Source organism: Homo sapiens, chromosome 17, assembly GCF_000001405.40.
Source record: "Homo sapiens chromosome 17, GRCh38.p14 Primary Assembly".
In the NCBI taxonomy this organism is placed as follows: domain Eukaryota; kingdom Metazoa; phylum Chordata; class Mammalia; order Primates; family Hominidae; genus Homo; species Homo sapiens.
In genome coordinates, this window is record NC_000017.11 from 22,042,062 (window position 1) to 22,061,531 (window position 19,470).

General features: G+C 46.4%; 1 pseudogene, besides 2 other annotated features; it reads right to left on the minus strand.

Moving 5' to 3' along the window:
• Positions 2,113-2,675: an enhancer, noted in NCBI's record as "H3K27ac-H3K4me1 hESC enhancer chr17:21561832-21562394 (GRCh37/hg19 assembly coordinates)". NCBI's record gives its function as "activates a minimal SCP1, AML or CMV promoter by ChIP-STARR-seq in primed H9 embryonic stem cells {active_cell/tissue: H9 hESC(primed)}" and the evidence as "EXISTENCE:reporter gene assay evidence [ECO:0000049][PMID:30033119]".
• On the minus strand, positions 2,234-3,157 carry LOC100287309 (abhydrolase domain containing 15 pseudogene; annotated as a pseudogene).
• Positions 8,985-9,185: a silencer, noted in NCBI's record as "peak2767 fragment used in MPRA reporter construct". NCBI's record gives its function as "represses an SCP1 promoter by STARR-seq MPRAs in K562 erythroleukemia cells {active_cell/tissue: K562}" and the evidence as "EXISTENCE:reporter gene assay evidence [ECO:0000049][PMID:32103011]".

Below are 19,470 nucleotides of genomic sequence, written 5' to 3' on the forward strand. Positions count from 1 at the left end.
TCCACTCCAGTCTGGGGGACAGAGTGAGACCCCCATCTCGAATATACACACACACATACACAGACTCACACGCTATCCGCTGGTGCCCCTGTCAGTTAAACACAGCATCTCAGGGCACCTTAGCACACAGTGTGAGAGCCGTGGTCCTAAACACTTCAATTAGAAGTGAAACATCTCTGGCTGGATTTTTAGAATATTTACTTTTTAATGTTTTATATTATATTTATTTTTTATGTTTTAATTAATTTATCTGAATACAAGACTCCAGACATTTGGAAGTAAAACAATGGAAAACATGCCTGCAAACACTAATCAGCACAAAGCTCATGTTGCTATGTTATTATTGACAGTTTAGACTTAAGCAAAGAAATATTGCTAAGATAAAAAAGATTTTACAATGTCAGTCACTAGAAAAGTATGCCAATTTTAAATATGTATAAATATAAAATATCCCTTCAAATTATTTACTACAGAAACTGATATGACTAAAAGAAAAATGGACTAATCTACAATATAGATTTTAACATACCTTTCAATTACCGATGGAACCAACAGAAAAAAATCCATAAGAGAAAGGGAGATTTGATGAACACAATGAACAAACTTGACATAAACTGACATATACAGAACGCGACACTCAACAACTACTGAATACACATCCTTTTCCAGTGCACGTATCATATTTACCAACATAGATTATACGTTGGAATTTAAAGGGACTCATCACAGAGTATTCAGTCGTGGGATTTTGCCTAAACTTGTCTGGCCTTCAACAGGGTTCAAATACAGTTAAATTCTTATTTCATCTAAAGAGTCCTATCCTTTTATTTTTTTGGAAATTTTACCGCAACAATCTAAATTTGCATAACAACTGAACCCACCCCTTGGAACTTGAAGTTTATTCTAGCCAAAGGCAGATTAAACTGTCTAAGTAGTAATGTCCTTCAAATTGTTGTCCCCTGCTCCAGTAACGGAGTATAGCTCCAAGAAGCTAACAGACTATTTGTCCCTCATAGCATACATTCTATGTTACATCAAAACGTGGTATAAAGCCTTGAAATCAGCAGCAGAGAGAAAATGAGATCAACAACCATCTAGCCATGACCTCACTACTTAGTAATTACGCTTTTAGCTGTCTCCTTTACTTGATTCCTAACTGCTTATTTCTGGCAGGGTAGCACTAATCTCTGACCAAGCTGACCTTTTAAGAAATGAGCAGAACGAAAAGGCTCTGCCACCAGTGATCAGTTTAACAAGCTGCAACACTAGTCACTGGCTGCAACTCTAGTCACTGGCTGCAACTCTAGTCACTGGCTGCAACTCATATTGTGGGTTTTAAGAGCTCAGAATTAACATGGAAATACTATTGACTCGAAAAGAAACCCAGAAATCTCTGGGAATCCAGCAAAGATAGAAAGGGTCCTCTCAATAGTCACCACTCACACTTTGCTTTGTTTTGGTAACTATTTTATTACATACGGAGAATGTCAAAAAAGTATGCCTTTTCCTCATTGTTAATGCTAACCCTAAAATGGTAAGGCTCTTGCAGGTTGAAACCCCCAGGCTCTCACTGGCCTTTCAGCAGAAGGCAGTGAAGTCACCTGCAAAAGCGATCACCCAAAAGCTTCCAGGCTGGACAAGTTTGGACTCAGTTCTTGTAGTTCCCAAATTCACAGTTCTCTTGGGACATGGTTATTTATGGAGCTCCTGAAGATGAGAAATTCCACCCAGGAAATTCTGTTTATAAAAGATTATTCACATCTAATTATCTCAGGAGACATTAACACAGCAATGTTGAAAATCTCCCATTGTTAATCCATGGAGAAAAACTGGACAAAAATTTTTTAAAATATGAAAAGCTTCATATAATACAAATTATACTTCCACATGTGATTCAATTTCTATTCATTAATGCCAGAGAAGTTAATAATTATGAATTGCCAGTGGTTAAAAAAAAATAAATCATTCATCACTGGAGAAGTACAGAAGGTTTAAAAGAGATAAGAATTAGTTTTTGGCTTTGGGGCGTTTTATGCTTTCCAAAAGGTTTTGCTCTTTTTTTTTTTTTTTTTTTTTTTTTTTTTTTTTTTTTTTTTTTTTTCTTTTTTTTGGGCGCATAGCTTGCCCCCTCTCCCTCTCTCTTTCTTTCCGATTACAGTTTCTTTTGATTTCTCCTGCTTAGAAATGGTGAGAGAACTTTGGATGTGGAATGTGGAGTAGGAGGAACACGAAGTGGGGATCTGCACTTGGGGTGGTCAGCACTGCGGATGCCCAGCAAAGGCACTGCCTGGTCCACATCCCGGAGTGGTCTCTGCGCCCGAGTCGGCATCGCAGCTGATGGTGAAACTTTTGGTGTGGCAGAAGAGTGTCCACAAACTTTGGAAGGTATCCGCTGCCTCCTCCATAGCCGTGTATCCCTGCCGAGGGCGATCATCTCGGGGAGCCGAAAGTCCGGCTCATGGGCCAGGGCTGGCTGGCTGGAGCCACTTGCGCGGCGCAGCCCTGGCGGAGGTTCAGGCGGCCCCGGTGTCGCAAGCGGCTGTGAGTGATGCCTCCTTGGTGCCGGAGGGGTCCCAGGAAGTCTGAAGACCAGGGCTGACCAGCGGGCAGCATGGTGGCCGCGATAGAAGGTGACAGGGTTCGCAGCGCCAGGGGACCCAGCAGAGCCCGAGCCCGGGCATCCCGCATCTCCAGCAGCACCGCGGGGAAGCCTGGCGCTGGTGACGTGGCGGCCAGTGCACAAGGCCCACGACCCAGTCCCAGAGGCCAGCCCATCGTCAGCTAACTTCAGGAACCCTGGGCCAGCTGAGGCCCCGGGCCCCAGGGGCAAGACAAAGGGCAGAGGGTCCGCAGGCGGGGCCGAGAGCAGGCAGTGCAGGCCTGGCTCCACAACCGCGGAGCTCGCAGGGCACAGCAGGCACCGGGCAGCAACCAGGGCTTCCAGAGGAGGCTGTGCACCCCCGCAAAGGCTCCTGCCCGGCGTCCAGCCTATCCGCGGGGACTCCACGTGCACCCCCTCCTCATTGTCCTTGTCTAGGGCCGCAGCAAGGTCCTGGCTCCCATGGCGTGACTCTGGGGGCGCAGGAGCATGGGCTGAGCAGGTGGAGTAGGGTGAGCACTGCCAAGAACCCAGCGAGAGTGGCGCCCCAGGGCAGCACAGGAGGCCGCATTTAACGTATAAATCATCTCAAAGATTTTATGGCATCTTCTTTTTTTTGACATCTTATAATATCTATAATGTCTATTATATCTTGTGATATAATTATTAACACCACTTCATTGTGATTATTATGATTATTTTTATACCAACACGTCTTCGATTATTAATATTCCCAGTTGCTAGAGAAAAATGAAAACGACTAGTTTTGAAAGCCTTACTTCTGCCAATGGAAGCACATTCCAGCATGTCGCCAACCCAATCCACTTTCCACCACTTTCACAAGAAACGTTACTGCACAATTATACTATCCTAACCTTATATACTTTTTGTGTGTGTGTGTGTACTTGTATGTATGTATGTTACATATGTTATATATATATATATGAAGTATGCCAGAGATGAACAAGTATTAGAAAATTAAATGCACACAGGTCATGTCAGTGCTATGTATAATGTGGTGTACTAAGTATAGATGTTCAACAGTGTGGGATCCAGGCCAGAACAAGACTCCTAGTCTTAAGCAATTCTTTCTAGGTTCAGTCTCTAGAAATAATGCTTTGTATCAAATGTGCGAGAAAATTAATGGGTTTTAAAGACTATTCTATGTCAACTATAACATTTCATTTGGGGATTTCTGTCTCTTATAATATCTACCTCATTTTGGATGGATTCCTTGAGGGCTGGTTTATTTTTCTTTTCCTTTCTATACATCGCTGCTCAGAGTGATGAATGGTGTTGTATTTTGAATAAAATATCTAAGCATCCTTTTGTGAGCAAGGAGCATGATGGTTGGTACTTAGACCTACCATTTCTCGTTACAGTGGTTATGGTTACAGTGGGGCTGGGGTGTTTACCTGGAGCCTGGACGTCCACTGGGACATGATACCCACTGGGATTTTTTTGTGTCAACCTGGTCTATGATGTCCACCTGGGGACTGGGTATCCACCTAAGGCCTGATGTTTACCTGGAGCCAGATGTGCACCTGAGGCCTGATGTCTATCTGTGGCTTATATTCACCTGGGGACCGATGCACATCTGAAGCATAGGTATTCACCTGGGGCCTCATATCCACCTGTAGTATGGGTGTCAACCTTGGGGCGGATGTTCAGCTGGCGTCCACTCTCTACCTGGGGCCTGGTGTACACATGGGGCCTGGGCATCCACCTGAGACTTGATGTTTAATATGGTCTGGAGTTTTCTTGGGACCTGTTGTACCCTGGAGCCTGGGTGTATACATGGAGCCTGATGTCCCAGGTGGACACCCGGGTCCCAGTGGATCTTCAGGCCCTAGGTGAAAACTCCAGGCTCTAAGTGGACAACCAGGCCCCAGGCTGATGTTTACTGGGGCCAGATGTCTACCAGGCCCCAGGTGAAAACTCCAGGCTCCAAGTGGACAACATGGCTCCAGGTTCCAGGTAGACACTGGAATCCAAATCAACACCAGGCCCCAGATGGACACCCAGGCCCTGTGGTGGACATCAGACTCCAGAAAGTCATCTGGGCTCGAGGTGGACATCAAGCCCCAGGTGGATACCTAGTCCCCAGGTAGATATCAGGCCCCACTTTGACGCCAGTCCCTGGGTAGATACCTTGGCCTCAGGTGGATATCCAGTCTCTAGCTAAGCCTCAGGCTCCAGGTGGACCCAGGCCCCAGCTGACTGGGGACTAGTGTTCATATGGGGCCACATGTCCATCTGGGCCCTAGGTGTCAACTAGTAGCCTGATGTCAACCTGGGAGCTGGTGTTCACCAGAGGACTAAAGTCCTCCTGGTGGCTGATGTCCAACTTGGGACTTTGTGTCCACCTGGAGACTGATGTCCACTTGGGACCAGATGTCCAACTGGAGCAAGATGTCCACCTGTAGCCTAGAACTTCACCTAAGGCCTGATGTTCCCCAGGGCCTACAGGGCCTGTGTATCTACCTAGGGACTTGTGTCCAGGTGGGGCCTGAGTTCCATCTGGGGTCTGGAATTAACCTGGGACCTGATGTCCACCTGAGGCCTGGTGTTCCTCTGGAGTCTGATATCTATCTGGGGCCTAGGTGTCCTCCTATGGTCTGATGTCCACTTGTAGGCTGGTGTCCACCTGGGGCCTGGGTGTCCACCTAGGAACCTGATGTATACCTGAAGTCCAGTATCTACCTGGGTACTGATGTCTACCAGGAAAGTGATATAAACCTGGGGCCTGATAGCCACCTGGGCCCCGAGTGTCCACATATGTTCTGATTTCTGCTTTTGGCCTGAGTGTAGGGCCTGGGTGCCACCTGGGTCCTGATGTTCACCAGGAACCTAGGTATTCACTTGGGGCTTGCTGTCCACCTGGGGCCTAATGTCCACGCGAGACCTGGTGTTCACCTAGGGCCTGGGCAGCCACCTGTGGCCTGATGTTCAGTTGGCGACTGGGAATTCCACTAAGGCTTGATGTCCACCTGGGGCATAGGTGACCACTTGTGGCCTAGTGTTCCCCTGAAGCCTAGGTGTCAACCCAGGGCATAACGTCTTCTTGGGGCCTGCTGTCCACCTGCAGACTGGTGTCTGCATAGGGCCTGGTATCCACCTGGGGTCTGGTGTCTGCGTGGGGCCTAGTGTCCACCTGAAGACTGAGTACAGACCTCACACCTGATGTATGCCTGGGGCCTATTTATCCACCTGGGGGCTAGCATTCATCTGGCGCCTCATGTCCACTTAAGCCCTGGGTGTCAACCTGGTGCCTAATGGCCACCAGGGATCTATGTACTCACTTGGGGCCTGGTGCTCCCATAGGGCCTAGGTATACACCTGGGGAATGATGTGCAGGTGGAGGCGGATGTCTTCCTGGGTGCTGCTGTTCACCTGGGGACAAGGGTCTCCCTGGGGACCGGTGTTTATCGGGAGCCTCATATGCACCTTGAACCTGCTGTCTACCTAGGGCCCGATGTCCATGTTAAGGCTGGGTGTCCACCTGGGACCTGGGTGTCCACTTGGGGCCTAATGTCCACCTAAGACCTAGTGTTCACCTAGGGCCTGGGTGTCCACCTGGAGCCTGATGTTCAGCTGGAGATGCATCCACCCGAGACCTAGGTATCCACCCAGGGTCTGGTGTCGAACTGGGGCCTTATGTCCACCGGGGGACTAGATATCTACCTGAGGCTTGATGTCCACCTGGAGCCCATATCCACCTCAGAGCTGGGTGTCCACCCAGGTTCTGGTATCCACCCGGAGCCTGGTGTTCATCTGGGGCCCAGTGCCCACCTGGAACCTGGGTATCACCATGGGGCCTGGGTGTCCACTTGGAGCGTGATGTGCACCTGGGACCTGAGTTTCCACCTAGGGCCTGATGACCACCTGGGGTCTGATGTCTACCTGAAGCCTAGGTAACCACCTAGGGCATGGTGTTACCTGTGCCTTTATTTCCACCTGAGCCTGGTGTACACCTGGGGCCTGGGTGTCCATCTGAGGCCTGATGTACTCCTCAAGTCCAGTGTCCACTTGTGGCCTGATGTCAACTTGGAAGCTGATATCCACCTGGGGACTGATGTTCTCCTGGGGTCTGATATCCAACTGGGATCAGATGTTCACCTAAGGCCTGGAGTTAATCTGGGGCCTGATGGTCACCAGGGTCCCAGGTGTCCACCTAGGGCCTAGTGTCCAACTAGGGCCTGATGTCCACCTGGAGTCTAGTATCCGCCTTGGCCTTGATGCTACTTGAGGCCTGGGTGTCTTCCTAGAACCTGAGTCCCCAATTGGGCCCTGATGTCCACCTGAGACCTGGTGTCCTTACAGGGTCTGATATCTACCTAAGGCCTGGGTATCCTCCTGCAGCCTGATGCTCACCTGTAGGCTGGTGTCCATATGGGGCCTGGGTGTCTACCTGTGAGCCTGATGTACACCTGGAGTCCAGTGTCCCCTTGGTTACTAATACGTACCAGGAAAATGGTATATACCTGGGGCCTGATATACACCTGGAGCCTGCATGTCCACCTGAGCCCTGATGTCCACCTGGGGCCTATATTCACCCACTACCCAAAGTCAAGTCGGGAAAAGGGCCCAGAATAGGTGAGGAGCACAGGTCAAAGCCTCTCAGTCCTGCTTGTATTTCTCCAAGAGTGATCTGGAGACCAACTGCATCAGAACTGTGGGGTGAGGTCACAGCCCCTGCCTGTGAGAAGTACAGATTCCTCTTCCTGGACCAGAATCCCTGGGAACTGGACCCAGGAATTTCCCAAGATCTCTGGGGGACTCTGAGACAGCCCAAGTATGGGAACTGCAGATTTCCTCCTGAAAAGGGAGCACTGTCTCAAGGGGTCCAGGTCACCCAACTCTACCTTGTAGCCACCAGACCAGTCTGAGCCTTGGAGAATGCTGCTCTTTCCTCCTGGAATGCCCTTCCCAGCGTTCCTTGCCTGGTAACTCTCACACATCCCTCAAGACCCAACTCAAGGGCCACCTCCTCCTGACGTCACTCCCTGAACTTTCTCCTGTGTTTCCACTCTCCTCTTCACCAAGTGATGTTGACATTTCTATGGGACCATCTCTCTCTAGACAAGAAACGCCTACAGTTGCAGCCCCCTGTAGTGCAATTTGTGTCAGTCTGGGAAGAGTGGATTTGGAGCCCAACCACCATTGAGGAAAATCCGTCTGATGGACATGGCGGGTTCCAGCCCAGATGCAGGGGTCAGCGAGGGGTGATGTGACAGTGAGCACAGACCCTGGGTGGTGGTGACAGTGGCTGTCATGGGGAGGAAAGGAATGGAAAAAGGACCTCATGGGAGCAGAAAGACAGGCCTTAGCTGCAGATGGGCCAGGACCCCACAAGGAATCCAGAACCCGCATCCTAATCCCAGCTCTGCTGTAAGTCCACAGCGGAACCCTGGCAGTGACTTTCCCCTTTCTGAGCCTCATTTTACTCATCAGTAAAATGGTGACGATAACTCCAACTTCACCAAGGAGATGCAAGGCTCAATGAGATGATGGATCTGAAAATGCCTTGTGTTTCATGGCACAAAGGAGAGGGATTCCTGACATGCGACAAGCGCAGGGAGAGAGGAAGGATGGGGTCTGTAAATGGCCAGGTGGCAGCCCACCCCTCCACACACACAAACACCCACCGTGTCACCCACACTGGTGATTTTCCCAGGAGCTCCCCTGGCCTGGAATTAGCACTGTCAGTGGGCAGGGAGGACTGTCGTGCCATTACAGGGGTGAGGATACAGGCTGTGGATGGTCCCACAGGGAATAAGGAGCAGGGTCTAGCTCCCCATGGCGGCAGGGAAGATTGAAGTTGCTCCCTGGGAAGAGGAAGGGAGGCATTGACTGGCACTCCGTGATTTAGATGAGAAGCCCTGGCTCAGCCCGGTGACTTGAGCTTCCTGATGTAGAAGGTGAAGGATGCAGAGGAGACAGAGGGCAGGAGGAAGAAGATAAGGAAGAGAGCAGCAAACTGGAGTCACTACAGGACACTAGCTGCTCCAGGCTGCTCTGTCCCATTCTAAGAGAAAAGGAAAAGTGGGAGAGGGGATCACAGATCATGTCCAGATTTCTCACTGGCATGGATGCTGCTATGGAAACATCCCTGATGGTCCAGGTTTGTGGTGGGAGAGATTGCAACACTCTGCTTCCTGGAAATCTGTGTTTACAGCCAACACAGTTGCTGCCCGAGACAGCCCCACCTGAAAACCCCAGAGCTGCCCCAGCTTGCCAGGCTTCCCCTCCTCCTGTTATCACCCCATGCTGCTGAGAACCTGCCTGGCAGGCTGCCCAGCCAAGGCCGGGGCCTAATCTCAAGTGAAACTGACATGTCCTTGTGAGGACTGAGGAACATCCTCTCTCCCCACAGAGCCTCACTCAGGTTCTCATCTACTTCCTTGGGGTCTGCCCCGCCTCCCTCAGGAGTTTGGAACCACATACTGTTCTGGAGGGGACCTCTCACTGCTGCAGAACCTGTCCTCCAGGATACCCACAAGTGTTCATCTCGGTCGTGGCTAATTAACTTATCATATGGTAGTGAACTACCTTCTGGAGCCCCAATAGTTTGTTTATTTTTTAAAAATAAAATTAGTACCATTGTTTATTTTCTGAATGTACAGAAATATTTGTCTGATTATTATTTACATGCCCTTTGGGAAAACTTTATAAAATAAAAAAAGAAGGAGAATCCTACCACACAGAGATAATCACTTTAATAATTTTTCTATTCATATCTGCACATACAGGTATATATGGGATCATGCTCTGTATCTGTTGGGAGTGCATTAATCTGAAAGTTCAGTCACTTAAACAAAGACAGGTTCATTTTTCTTACATAGTTAGGGTATCTATGGTTCCTGGCTATGGTTCACTGGTTCAACAGTGTTAGGCCCAGCATCTTTGTGAGTCTATTGGAATTTAGTTCATGGCTGTAAGACGGCTACTGCAGCTCCAACCACTACATGAGTTTACAAGGCCAGCAAAAGCAGTCACTTCTGTATTCTTATTAGAAAAGCAGGAACTTCAGCGGTGACCCCCAGAGGATTTCTCTTTAGGTCTGGAAATCTGTGTTTAGATTGGCCAGAACCTGATCTCATGACCATCCCTAGCAGTAGAGAATAGCATTGTCATGATTGACTTTGGATCAATCATAATTTATTGACTGAGAGTGCACAAGTGGTCACCCAAAGAAGATCAAGAAAGGAGGGAATTAGCAGTGTGTACTACAGCATGCATGCTATTTTATGATGTGCTCTTTCTCTTAATTGCATATTTCAAACATCTTTCCATACTAAGAAATACAGATTCAGTCATTCATTTAACAACAAATTATTGAGAGTGTACTGTGTTCCAGGAACTTAACTTGGCATGGAGGACACAATAATGAACATAGTATACTCCTTGCCTCCATGGAGCTTAGCATCTAATGAGGGATACAGAAAGTCATCAAAGAGGTTCACAAAGAAATGTAAAATTATGATTGTAATTTGTGCTGAAAAGGAGGGAGCTGTGTGGTGTGTGAGAGCAGTGACAGGAGATTTGACTCAATCAGGAGGGTCTGTGTTCTGAATGGCCATAAGCCAGCCCCTTGCCTAGCTGTAGCACAATTATTTAGCCAATCTCTTATTGCTGGACATTTACATTCTTCCCACATCTTACCTACTACCATCAATGCAACAATAAATACCCTTCTCTAAGTACCGCTTGGCACACTTGTCTGATTATTTCCTCAGGATAAATTCCTAGGGTAAAGCCAGGCACCATGGTTCATTCCTGTAATCACAGCTACTCAGGAGGCCAAAGTGGGACGATCACTCGTGGCCAGTAGTTCATGGCCAGCCTGGGCAGCATAGGGAAGTCTTGACTCACAAAAAAATCCTAGAAGAAATGAACAATTCTTAGATGTCAAATTGCCAAATCAAGGGGTGCACCATCACCATCCCCATACTCACCATCACCATCCTCATTATCATCATCAGTCTCACCCTCACCATTCTCACCAGCATCAGCAGCAGCATCCTCACCATAACTATCAGTATCTATCACCACCTTCAGCATACCATCCTCACCATCACCATCATCTTCATTACCACCACCATTTTCACCATCACCATCCTGACCATCACCATCATTATCACCTCATCACCATCCTTACCATCACCATCACCATGCTCACCTTCACCATTCTCACCATTATCATCCTCATCCTCAGCATAACTATCACTATCATTATCACCACCTTCACCATCACCATCCTCATCATCATCACCTTACCATCACCATCCTTATCATCACCATCACCATGCTCACCTTCACCATTCTCACCATCATCATCATCATCCTCAGCATAACTATCACTATCATCAGCACCTTCACCATCACCTTCCTCACCATCACCAACATTATCACCATCACTATCCTCATCATCATCCTCAACATAACTATCACTATCATTATCACCACCTTCACCATCACCATCCTCACCATCATCATCATCATCATCACAACCACAATTATGAAAATCTTGGAGGAAAAGGAGAGGAGGTAGCATATTAAAATACAGGTACTTTGATGAGGAGGAACAGGCAGAGTTGAAGCTGGGGAGGGGATATCAAACAATGGAGACCCCCAGAACATAAAACTAAGAAGCTCAGGCTTTGCCGAGAATCAGAGGCATCCTTGAAGATTTATCAGCAGGAGAGTATGCAGTCAGATTCCTGTTTAGCCAGAACATTGAGCAGTCCTCAGAAGGAAGAAGCAGAGGGAGGGAGGCCCACAGAGGAGACAGAACCTTCAACACCAACCAGAGTCCTGGTCCTGGGTCCAGCAGATCTGGCAGGAATGAGGAATGGGAGGCTTATGGGTAAAGGCTGCAGCCAGGCAGGAAAAGGCCTCACTCTCCCTGCCACTCCTTTCCCTGCTCCCCACTTTCCTGTCCCATCTTTGCTAATAGGCTAAGCATCTCCAACTGCACCCACCCACTAGATTTGCCTCAATTCCTCCTCCTCTCTCATGCCTGAGGCCCAGGTGGCTTCCAGAGCTGACCAGGTCTATTTTAGAATTTTAATGAGATAATCTGGGTAGAAGTGCTGGTGCCCTGCCAGCCACAGCAGGTACTCCTCATATGGTAAACTGGAACTGTCTTCTCAGTTCCTACAGCTTTGGGTTCAAATTCTGCCTAATCCAGATGACCACCATCTCTCACCTGAGCAGAGAAGCCTCCCATTGGTCTCGCTGTCCCAGACCTTCCTCTTTCCAGGTATCAGCCTGACAATTTTCTCAAACTGCAAACCTGGACATGTCCCTCCCTTGTCCCTTTGATTAAAGGGTAAGATCCAAATTCCTTAGCATGACACCCCAGGCACTGAGGAGCTAAGGCCCCTCCATTTCCACCTTGACTTGTTCCCCTCTAGTAGCATTGCTGACCCACTTGCCTTGTTCTTTCACCACATGGCTTTGATCCTGTTGCTCTTCTGCCTGGAGCATCTTCCTACATCTTCTCTGCCTGGTGAATTTCTACTTAACCTACAAAGCCAAGCTCACCTTCTCTGTGAATTCTACTTCCTCCCCATCATGCTGCAAATTGTCTCTCTCACTAGACCTCCAGCCCCTAAAAATCAGGGACAGCTTAATGCATGTTGGAAATGGCTACTCCTCACTTAATTACCCTAATTAGCTAGTTATATTCCTTTATATTTATGTTTCCCCATTTATTGAAGCTTTCCACAAGCCAGGCACTGAGATCCAGGGGAGGACAGGGGAGGACCCTGAGGGTAGGACAAGCATGAGCACTGAAGGCTACAATGGCACAGGCACCAACAGATCATGTGGGGTGCAGGAAGCCTCATCTCTAGAGTGTCTTCCTGGTTTACCATACGCTTTCTTCCCTTCCCTTATTGGAGTCACCTTGTGCTGACTTTGATAGCCTGTGTCCCTGAAACATGCACTCCCACACACACAAACCGACCCACACCTATCCACATGTACCTGCCCATACATACACAGACCTCTCTGTGTATCCCCCAGAGCTACAAATGCCAATCTTGAGAATGAAGATTTTGCAAGTGCTCTGTGCCAGGCATGATGCCAGGTCCCTGACAACAAAAGACCCCTCTGGTTTCTCCCACTCAGCTGTGCAAGGTTCGGGGTTGAGGAGCTCCCCCTGCCAAGGTCACAGACGTGGAACATGAGGTAACAGCTATTTGAATGTAAGCCTGTAGGTCACCAAAACATAAGCCATCTGCACCCCACCACACTGCCTCCAAAGCACATGAAGCCATGAGTCTATCAACTGTGACTCATTAGTAGCCAGGAATATTTCCTCCTCCACTTCGCTTCCCACTGCCACTCCAGTATCTCTGCCCACAGTCCCAGAGCCACCTCTGCTTAACGGGGAGGTCAGGACTGATGCTCCATTCCACCCAATGCCATCTCCCAGGGTGCAGCCTCCTCACAGGAAAGAGGACTACCGTGGCTAGTGGTGACATGGGTGGCTCTGGCCTCCAGGACTTCTCCCCAGGACCTCTGCTCAGGACATGGCACGGACAGAGGTGAGGTTGCCATAAAACTGCCTCGGAAATGACTACAAACCAGCTCAGACCATTCCAGCACCTAACACGCTGACAGCCCACGGTGGGCCCACAGAAGGGGAAGGGCTAGGGAGTCCAGGGCCGCAAGAGTTCACCCTCCCTGAGCCCTTGAGCACAGCCACCCAGGTGTAAAGAACAATATGGGGGTTCTGGGGATTCCCAAGCCTGGGCCCTAGAGGTGAGTTCTAGCAGGGCCCCCAGATATCCTCCCCATCCATCCCCTCATCCTGTCTCACATATTGTAAAAACAAGGAAACTGAGGCCTAGAGAGGGAAGGGGCTTGAGGAGTCTCCCAGGCAGTTAGAGACAGAGCCCAAGTGAGAATCTGTGTTTCTCTCATTTTTTTCCCCTAGGTCTGTCTCTGACTAGCTATGTGACCTTGGAAGAGGCACTCCACCTCTCTGGGCATTGAAGGTTTACAACTTCTGACATGTTCATTCCAGAGGGTTGTCAGGACCTGACAGCCCTTCACCTAAACAAAACACTCTACAGTCTACTAATATTCGTATATCTCTTATCTTCTCTGACCTCTGTAATACCCCTATGAGGCTGTGAAAATTGGTGCTTGTGTCAGAAAGACAAAGATCACGCAGAAAATTTGGGACAGGACTGGAACTAGAACCCAGGTCTCTCAAAGCAGGGTCCTTGCCATCACTAAGGCTAGGAATACATTAAGACTCCAAAATATGGAGAGTTGCTCAATGCATGCCACCAAGGTTAGAGCTGACCAACCCCAGAATGCTCAGCGGCTCTGAGACCCTGGAGTGGCGGACTCAAGGCAGAGGGTGATGCCGAAATCACACACATCTGAGCTCCAATCCAAACTCCACTACGCAGCTGTGTGACCCCACTTTATGAGGCTCAGCATTCTCTAGTACAAAATGAAACTACAGAAGGTACCAAAAAGCTCAGGATGAGGGGAGAACTGCACCCTGAATGCAGGACTGCCAGGCAGGTGGTAAGCACTCATTAGCTTCTGTTTCAAGCACACAAATCATATGTTGTTTTTCATCATGTCTCCCCATGGTGTCTGGTCTATGGCTCCAGAACCAGGAGGCTTCTGATCAATCCTTATGCTAAATGATAGACAGATAGATGGGTGGGTGGTTAGACAAATAAATGGATGGATGCATGGATTGATAGATTGATGCTGGGATGAATGGATGGATGAATAGATGGATGAATGGATAAATGAATGGATAGGTGCTCAGAAGACAGAATAAAACAGGGATTCAAAATGAAAATAACAAGATGATTGAAGGATGGGGCTGGTACATGGAAGAGAGGTACAAGATCCAGCCCTTCTGGCTCTATTCAGCCCTACAACCACATACCTTGGGGTAGCACTGGCACATGCTCCAGATTATACCCCTGGATACCATGATGCTGCCACAGAAGGTTTCATTGAACTGGGGCCCATCATGGCTCAGGAGGAATGTACTGAGAGCCAGGAGAAGACTCATACATTGAAGCTGAAGCAGAAGGTCTTCTCGTCTGCCAAAGTCTCCTCAGCTGCTATGGCTGCCAGCCAGGCCCTGGCCTGTGCACCCCTGCCAGAAGGGGCCTGTGCCATCCAACATAAACATCCAGACAGGCTCACAGGAAGAGATGAAGCTCTTGGATCACTGCAAATCAAGGCTTAAAGTTAAAGGGAGGGCAAGACCCCTTCAGCTCCAGGCCCATTCCCTGGACCCACCAGTGCAGCAGGGCTGAAGGCAGCATGCTTCGGTGGACCAGTGAACCCACTCCCCACCCTCTCTCCTTCCCTTGGGGCCCAGAAGGCCTGGAGTACATGTGTGAACATGGGTGAGGGAGCATGCAAGGGAGGAACAAGGGGAGGTTACAGGGGCTGGGCCCCAGGCAAGCCTGTGACAAAACCTTCTTTGCCTACTTTGGGGCTGAACTGAGTAAACAGCTGATCCCACACCTTCTAGCCCCGGGAAACAGGGTACAACTCTGCAGCCAAAATATGTTAGAATGCTGCCAGAGGATTTCAGGATCCCACTGCCAGGCATTTCAGGATCCTAGATTTTAGACCCTTCAAGGATATGTGTCCATCTGGGATTCAGGCATGATGGCCCATATGTAGTGGATGGTGATGATGGGCATGACATCATTCTAAGCATGTTACAGCTGTTAACTCACTTAAGGGACTGCATGAGGCAGGTATTGCTACACCCACTATGCAGAGGACACTGAGCACAGACAACTAACTTGCCCAAGGTCACACAGCTGGAAATGGTAGAGAAGCTGGAACGTGAACCCAGAAGCTGTGCCCCTGGCCACAGGGCAATCCTGCTTAATAGCAGCACAAGGTTATGGGTGAGAGCTCTGATGGCAAGGCAGGCTGCCTGGGTTTAGATCCTGGCTCCTGTACTGCGGGGCAGCGTGGTCTTGATCACATTACCTGCCTGTGTCTGTTTCCTCCTCTGTAAAATGGGGATAATAACGGTACCTCCCAGCATTGGCGCTGTCTCCAGGCCTAGGTGTCCTGGATCCTTCTGCCCCCTTTACACTCTGTGCAGCATCCAGACCTGCTTGTAATGAGCTCCTCTACTCCCCCACCAAAGCTCTGGTGAATTAATGTCCCTGTGGGGTATAAGTGACTGATAGTAACTTCCTCAATCTCCTTGCAGCCTAATCTAAGAAGATGCCTTCTAAAGAATAGCATTCTAATGTGAAATTTTTGTCCTGTGAAAGGCTAATGGGAGAAATCAGATTCCTTTGCAAGGTTACAGAAAAAACAGGACAATGAGTATCTCTAAGAGAGAATGCTCACTTTGAGTGTCGATGGGGTTAGGTGGCCAATACAGGATGAAAGGCTTTCATTTGGCTCCCTGACCTGCTGGATTTGGGGATTTCCCTGGACCTGGTCATTACCTCTTTCCTCCTGCCCAGCATGTGCTCACACCAGCCCCTCTGCCTCATAGTCCTTCCCACAGGCCTTTTTTCTTACATTTTTTTAGAGAAGGTAAGCTCAGAGGGACTTTTAATATGCCAATCGATGTTAAGAAAACACAAGCCAAAGACAAGTGCAAACATGCTTTCAACCAACATTAATGAGGAAACAAGACACAAATTCTTTTTCTTTTTATATTTTATTTTTGAGATGGAATCTCACTCTGTCGCTCAAGCTGGAGTGCAGTGGCGTGATCTCCACTCACCACAAGCTCCTCCTTCTGGGTTCACGCCATTCTCCTGCCTCAGACTCCTGAGTAGCTGGGACTACAGGCGCCTGCAACCACGCCCAGCTAATTTTTTGTATTATGGTAAAGATGGGGTTTCACCGTGTTAGCCAGGATGGTCTCGATCTCCTGACCTTGTGATATGCCCGCCTCAGCCTCCCAAAGTGCTGGGATTACAGCTTGAGCCACTGAGCCTGGCCCTGTTTGTTCTTTTACTTTAACTTTACAATGTATTTGCCATGTTTTAAAAATAAATTTAATTGGAATTTTATTGAAATTGTATGAGACATGATTTAGTCCAAGATGAACACACAACATTATTATTACTGTTTCCATCCAGCTATGGCATATTTCTCTAGTTGTCTTTTATATCGCTCAATAAAATTTGTGGCTCTGCTACACTTCCTAATAATCATACATTATATTTCATTATTTCTAATTATTATAATGGATTGCATGTACATTTACTATGTACCATATATTATGCAATATATTCATTATCTCAATTCATAAAACAATCATGTGATTTAGTTGGTGTTATTACTAGATTATTAACATTGTACAAGTAAAGAAAATAAAGACAAAAGAAAAGAGACTCAGCAAAATCAAACCAATAAAGACTTCATTAGAATTGTTGGGTATATAATAAAAATTTAATACAACTCAATGAAAGCAAAAAAACATTTTAAAAAATGACCAGGCAGATTTGAGAAGGAGCCAAACAGAAATTCCAGAAATAAAAACATAATTGTTGAAATTGAAGACAGATTTGACAGCAGATTACATATAATTGAAAAGGAAGATGCAAACTGGAAGACAGGCTGAAGAAATTGCTTAGAATGAAGCCCAAAGAAGTAAAAAAATAAGAAAGAAACAAGAGACATGGAAGACAAGAGTGATATTACAACTAACAGGATTTCATAAGTAGAACAATAAACCGTTAGAAAGGTTTTGTAAAAAAGATAATGGCTTGGAATTTTCCCAAAGTGATGAAAAACTCCACCCTTCATATTCAGGAAGCTCAAGTTGGACAGATTTAAAAGGCGAAAAAAAACACCTAAATGTATCATCATAAAAATAATGGAACCCTGAAGAAAAGAATATATTGAAAATAAGCAGAGAGAACATTCAGTTTATCCATGAAAGAATACGGACTTAGACCAAGAGCTAATGTCTTAAAAATGGAAGCAAGAAGACAATGTACTAAGAAAAAACAATCACATATGAAATTAATATATCTTTTAATAAACAGGCCAAATATAGACATATTTAAGTCATAAAAAACAAACAAATACTGAATTTGCTAACTAAGAGACCTTCACTAAAGGAAATTCTAAGAGATGTTCTTCAGTAGAAGGGTGTTCCCCTAGATGGAAGACTTGAGTTGTGAGAAGAAATGGTGAGCACTTAAGAAGACAAATATCTGAGTAAATATAAATGAACACTGACTATACAATATGTAGTTTCCAGTGGATTAAGAATAAGATGAGAAGCAAAACTATAAAACTTCTACAAATAATACAGTAAAACTACCTTAATAAACCCCAGTGGGTTTTCATATAAAACCTAAACAAATTCTGTTCACCAGAAAAACACTATCAGGATCAAAGACCCAAATATAAGGGGTAAAACTATAAAATTTGTAGAAGAAAACATAGGTATAAATCTGTGACCGTGAATTAGGCAATGGGTCTTAGATACAACACCAAATGCAAGAGTGACAAAAGGAAAAAACAAACTGGACTTCAACAAAATTCAAAACTTTTGTACATCAAAGGATACTATCAGGAAAGTGAAAAGAACCCACAGAATGAGAGAAAATACCTATTAAGTCATACATCTGATGAAGAACTAATGTCCAGAATATATAAAGAATTCTTAGAATAACAAAAAGACAACCCAATTAAATGAGCAAACAATCTAAATGAAGATTTCTCTAAAAAGATATACAAATGGCCAATCAGCACATGAAAAGATGCTCAACATCATTAGTCATTAAGGATATGCAAATGAAAACTACAACTAGATACCACTTCACATCTACAAGAATAGCTATTTTTTTTTAAAAAAAGGAAAATAACAGATGTTGGCAAGGAGGTAGGAAAAAATGGAACCTCCATACACTGCTGGTAAGAATATAAAATGGTACAGAGACTTTGGAAAACAGTTTTGAAGTTTTTCAAAAAATTTAAACATAGATTTACCATATGCCCACTCTTAGATATATAAAGAAAATTGCAAAAATACATCCACACAAAACGAGTACATGAATCTCATCACAGTACATTATTAATCATAGTCAAAAAATGAACACAACTCCAATATCCATGAACTAATGAATGGATAAACAAAACATAGTAAACTCACACAATGGGATTCAGGCATATAAACCAATGAGGTGCTGAGACAAGATACAACATGGATGAATCAGGACAACATGCTAAACAAATGAAGCCAAACACCAAAGGTCACATATGATTCTGTTTTTTCTGATATTTGGCACATGCTAGTCCATAGAGACAGAAAATAGTCTAGTGGTTGCCAGAGGCTGGGGAAAGGGGGAAATGGGGAGTAACTGCTAGTAAGTATGGAATTTCTTTTTGAAACGATAAAAATCTTCTAGAGTTAGAGAGTGGTGATAGCTGTACAACTTTATGAATACATTAAAAGCACTTATAGCACCTATAGTCCCAGATACTCAGGAGGCTGTTGCAGGAGAATCGCTTGAACCTGGGAGGCAGAGGTTGCAGTGAGCCAAGATCGCACCACTGCACTCCAGCCTGGGTGACAGAGTGAGACTCGAAATGTGGGGAAAAAAATGCACTTAGTGTACACTTAGAGTGGATACTGGGCTAAAAGTGAAGTGACAGGCCACAAACTAGGCAAATCTTCTATACACATACCTGACAAGGGACTTCAGGGAATCCTAAAAATTTCAATGACAAAATAGGAGACTATAGACAAAAGACATGAACAATGCACATAAGGAACCCAAATAACCCATAAACAAATGAAAATAAGCTCAGCCTCCTTCCAAACCACAGAGAAGACTATTTCATATCCAAATGAAAAAATGATATGAAGTAAAGGC